The sequence below is a fragment of the Homo sapiens genome, chromosome 17, assembly GCF_000001405.40.
Source record: "Homo sapiens chromosome 17, GRCh38.p14 Primary Assembly".
NCBI classification, from domain to species: domain Eukaryota; kingdom Metazoa; phylum Chordata; class Mammalia; order Primates; family Hominidae; genus Homo; species Homo sapiens.
This window is the reverse complement of record NC_000017.11, coordinates 39,945,000-39,950,427: the sequence shown is the minus strand read 5'-3', so window position 1 is coordinate 39,950,427 and position 5,428 is coordinate 39,945,000.

Genomic DNA, 5,428 nt, shown 5'->3' with positions numbered 1-5,428 from the left:
GTCCCAGAGGGACAGGGCCCTGTGGATTCTAGTCCTGGTTCTTTCCTTCCCTCCCTATGTGACCTTGGATAACTCGCTGCCTCTCTTTGGGCCCTTTTGTAAAATAGAGATCCCTGCCAACTTGAGCAGTCCGTGCTATTCTGGGTGGGTGCTATTCCTCTGTACCAGCCTCTAGCATCTGGCCTGGAATCCTCAACCTGCCTCCTCACCCCACCCTGCAAGCTCGCCTCTTCCTCAGGTTTTCCAGATCATTCACGATGATGGCTGAGGTTTTGGATGTCCAGGGAGTTTTGACATTTGCCTTCGACAGTGACAGAGGCATTCACCAGGACCCCTGTGACTGCAGTCTTGGTGATCTTGAGTCTTTTCTTAGTTCTACAGGACAGATGTGCCCTGTGCTCGTTCCCATACACCCTCTGCTGGAAACATTCCCTGATAAATTGCCTTGGCCCCAAAAGTGAATGAGAAGTGAGGGCTGACCTTAGACATTAGTATTAGTGTGGGGGCTTAAGTTTTGTTTGGTGTTCTAAAAGAGGAAGATGGCAGTTGTCATAAGTGTAGAAACATATATATATATATATTTTTTTTTTGAGACGGATTCTCACTCTGTCACTCAGGCTGGAGTGCAACGGCGTGATCTCAGCTCACTGCAACCTCTGCCTCCCGGGTTCAAGTGATTCTTCTGCCTCAGCCTCCTGAGTAGCTGGGATTACAGGCGCCCGCCACCATGCCCAGCTAATTTTTGTATTTTTAGTGGAGACGGGTTTTTGCCAGGTTGGCCAGGCTGGTCTTGAACTCCCAACCTCAGGTGATCCACCAGCCTCGGCCTCCCGAAGTGCTGGGATTACAGGCGTGAGCCACTGTGCCCGGCTGAAATATATATTATGATTGGGGAAGATCAACTGCATTACAGGGGCCCGAGGCAGATACGTGTGTGTGTGCTCACATATGCGTGTGTGGTGGTAGTGGGACATAAAAGCTGTGATCACGCCACTGCACTCCAGCCTGGGAGAAAGAGTGAGACCCTGTCTCTAAATAAAAAAAAAAAGAAAAAAGAAAAAAAAAGACTAGGCTTTTAGGCTGGTTTGTTTTGCATGGCCCCAGGGGCAGATCTTCGACCAGTGGGAAGAAGGAACAAGGAAGTAGTTGAGGTTGAAGTAGCATTTTCCAATAGTCATTCTGCCTTATTTACTTCAGTCCTTGATGGAAATTCTTTCTCAAGTGCATCACCAGCTCCCTGCTTCTGAGAATGGACACTCCAAGATTTGAACTTTTCTGCAGGTAACCCGAAGTCAATGTACTGATCTCATGCATTTTGCCAATGCCCATAGGCCCCTGTGAGGCAGGGGGAGTCAGTTTTCCACACAGGGCCATTTAAGAGACACTAAAATGCCCTGTGACAATGCCTTTTGAGTTCTTAGACTTTTAATCATGTCCCTCCCCGTCGTTAGGGTGTACTTTCTCACTGCTGTTATTCTGACCCTCTGTAATATAATTTTTGCTACTTCAGAAATACTGTTTCTAACTTGATATAAGCAGGAAGCCACAGTTCTGAAATTATTAGAACTCTTGTAAACTAAGAATAAATGAGTTCTGAGCGAGGGTTCCTGTGAGCAAAGTACATGACCCTTTGTCGGTGTTTGATTGAGATGCTCCTTATGGGTTCACAGGGCCCCTGTGCACAGCCCTGTCTTCCTGGACTGTCATCACTGATACACTAGCCTGTCAGGTCCCCAGGGTCAGGCACAACTTCCTGATCTTTGTAGTTGCAGCGCCTGCCATGCACAGGAACTCAACGGATGGTGTTTGTTTGTTTGTTTTGAGACAGAGTCTCATTCTGTCACCCAGGCTGGAGTGTAGTGGCACGGTCTTGGCTCACTGCAACCTCTGCCTCCTGGGTTCAAGCGATCCTCCTGCCTCAGCCTCTTGAGTAGCTAGGATTACAGGCCCGCACCACCACACCCGGCTAATTTTTGTATTTTTAGTAGAGACGGGGTTTCACCATCTTGGCCAGGCTGGTCTCGAACTCCTGAGCTCAGGGCCCACCTTGGTCTCCCAAAGTGCTGGGATTACTGGCTGGAGCCACCGCGCCCGACCAACAGATTCTTGTCGAATGAAGGGGTGGGCTTGTGGTGGCATCCATTTGGCAGCTTGGGGGCCTTGTTCTGCTTTCCCTTTGCCTTCCTGGTTTGGGGTGACTGTTCCTTGGAGGTAAGAGAGGTTGATGATGGCAGATTCTCAGAGAGCTAAGGCGAAACCATTTCTAGCAGTTCGAACTCCCTTTAGTCCAATGGGGGAGGCAGTCCCTCCCTTTGGAATAAGCTCCCCGGGTTCCTCTGGCTTTGATGCCCCTCACTCTGTAGGAGACCTCAGTCTTAGGGTTGTGCTCTCGAAGCCTCTGTTTGTGAGCCCAATTCAGGAAGGGGTGGAGCTTCACTCCCCCTCAGCTGGGTGCTCCCTCAGGGTACCCTTGGCTTTCTCTGCCACTCCAGGCCTCAGCTCTGTAGGGCAGGAAGAAGCTGGTGGCGGAAGGGCTGTGTGGGCCTGTAATCGTCCAAGGGGTTCAGGTTGCGTGCTGCCTAGACAGAGCCGATTTATCAAGACGGGGGAATTGCAATAGAGAAAGAGTAATTCATGCAGAGCCGGCTGTGTGGAGACCAGAGCTTTATTATTACTCAAATCAGTCTCTATGAGCACGTCGGGGGCAGAGTTTTTAAGGATAACTTGGTGGGTTGCGGGGAAGCCAGTGAACCAGGTGTGCTGATTGGTCAGAGATGAAATCACAGGGAGTCAAAGCTGTCTTCTTGTGCTCAGTCAGTTCCTGGGTGGGGGCCACAAGATCAGAGGAGCCAGTTTATTGATCTGGGTGGGGCCAGCTGATCCATCAAGTGCAGGGTCTGCAAAATATCTCAAGCCCTGATCTTCGGAGCAGTTTAGGGAGCCTCCAGCGGCACGACTCCTAAACCATAATTTCTGATCTTGTGGCTAATGTTAGTTCTACAAAGGCAATCTAGTCCCCAGGCAAGAAGGAGGTCTGCTTTGGGAAAGGGCTGTTACTGTCTTTGTTTAAACTATAAACTAAGTTTTTCCCAAAGTTAGTTCAGCCTATGCCTAGGAATGAGCGGGGACAGCTTGGAGGTTAAAAGCAAGATGGAATCAGTTAAGTTAAATCTCTTTCACTGTCTCAGTCATCATTTTGCAAAGGCAGTTTTAGGCCTCTCCCTCTCCTCTCATCACAGCCCACTGGCTCCCTGATGCTGCATGTGGTGACAAGTTGGGACCTGGGCCCAGGCCGCGGGAACTCTTGCCTCAGGCCTGGGTTAGCTGTAGGCTGGGCTGTCTTGGTTCCTGAGCCAGGTTCCAGCATTTCCTGGTGGGAGAGTTTGGGACTGACACAGTGTGTCTCCCAGAAGAGCGTGCCTTTTCTCTCCCTCTGTCCCAGGCAGAAGGGCAGATGCGGGCAACATCACCGAGGCTGTCCAGCTGCCTCACCAGGCTTCCGTGGTTTCTCAAAACCCAGGGTCCTGTGATCCCTGGTCCATGGCAGAGGTGAGGATGGGAGTGAAGCCAGTTACGTCACCCCCTCCTGCCTGCCCAGTGGACAAGCACAAGCCCGGGGTCAGGATGCAGAGGGAGCAGTCCGGGATTCTGGGGCAGTCGTTCCATGCAGGAGCCGCTCTGAGTGTGTCGGCACAGTCCTGGCCAGTCCAGCAGATGGACTCTGGTGGCAGGGGCTGGGGAGCAGAAGGGGAGATGGGAAGCTGGCCTCCAGCCCAGCAGGAGCACCCCCGACCAAAGGGGTGGTGGAGGGGCTGAAGACAAGCTCAGCACCCGTTCTCTTCACCAACAGGCCACAGGTGCCCAGGAAAATGAGCAATACGAGATCGGAGCATTGATAAAAGTGACTTTATTGAGTTGTCCAGGGTCTCCTTACTTCCCCCAGCTCTGCAGTCACCCATCCCCAGCTCAGTCATAGAGGAGACCACCTTCCCCCCAGAAGAAGGAGCTCAGGAAACTAATCAGTGTATAAAGGAGAGGACGGAGAGAAATAGGGAGTCTCTGGTTAGGGACCTTGAGTCGGAGGAGGGGATCCTCAGTAGAGGGCACAGGAGGAAGAGGAGCCTGGGGACAAGAGAAGCAAGAAGCCAGGGGAGGCTCTCAGTAGAGGCGGAGGGAGAAGACAGGAGGAGCCCACAGTGTCCTTTTAAATCTGGCCACAGCCTGGCTTTTGACCTCGCCTCCAGCTTGGTTCCACCCACCTTCCCCTTGCCCCTCTTTGCACCCTCTCTTCCAGCCCCAGGGTGAGTCTTGCTGCTGCCCAGACATTCTGAGTTGTTGCACATCTTCCTTGCCTTGTCCACACCTTTCATCTAGGGGCCTTCTCTGCTCTTGCTTTTCTGTCCAAAGCTCTCCCTGTTCTTTTTTTTTTTTTTTTTAGAGAAGGTCTCGATCTGTGGCCCAGGCTGGAGTGCAGTGGTGTGATCTCAGCTCACTGCAACCTCAACCTCCTGGGATCAAGTGATTCTCCTGCCTCAGCCTCATGAGTAGCTGGGATTACAGGTGCCTGCCACCACGCCCGGCTGATTTTTTGTATTTTTAGTAGAGATGGGTTCCTTGGAGGTAAGAGAGGTTGATGATGGCAGATTCTCAGAGACCTAAGGCAAAATCATTTCTAGCAGTTTGAACTCCCTTTAGTCCAATGGGGGAGGCAGTCCCTCCCTTTGGAATAAGCTCCCCGGGTTGCCTCTCGCTTTGATGCCCCTCACTCTGTAGGAGACCTCAGTCTTAGAGTTGCGCTCTCGAAGCCTCTGTTTGTGAGCCCAATTCAGGAAAGGGTGGGGCTTCACTCCCCCTCAGCTGGGGGCTCCCTCAGGGTACCCTTGGCTTTCTCTGCCACTCCAGGCCTCAGCTCTGTAGGGCAGGAAGAAGCTGGTGGTGGACGGGCTGTGTGGGCCTGTAATCGCCCAAGGGGTTCACGTTGCGTGCTGCCTTGGGTGATCCACCCACCTGAGTCAGTTCGGGCCTGGCGCGCTCACGCCTGTAATCCTAGCACTTTGGGAGGCCAAGGCGGGCAGATCACGAGGTCAAGAGATCAAGACCATCCTGGCCAACATGGTGAAACCCCAACTCTACTAAAAAATACAAAAATTAGCTGGGCGTGGTGGCGCGCGCCTGTAGTCCCAGCTACTCAGGAGGCTGAGGCAGGAGAATCACTTGAACCTGGGAGGCAGAGGTTGCAGTGAGCGGAGATCCTGCCACTGCACTCCAGTCTGCTGACACAGTGAGACTCCATCTCAAAAAAAAAAGAATCAGTTCAAACATCCTACAGCGAAGCCTTTGAAATCGCCCTGGGCCAGGTGCAGGCTCCCTCCTCAACCTGCCCCCCCACAGCCCCTCCTCCCTTGCTCCCACCCCACCTGCTGTCATT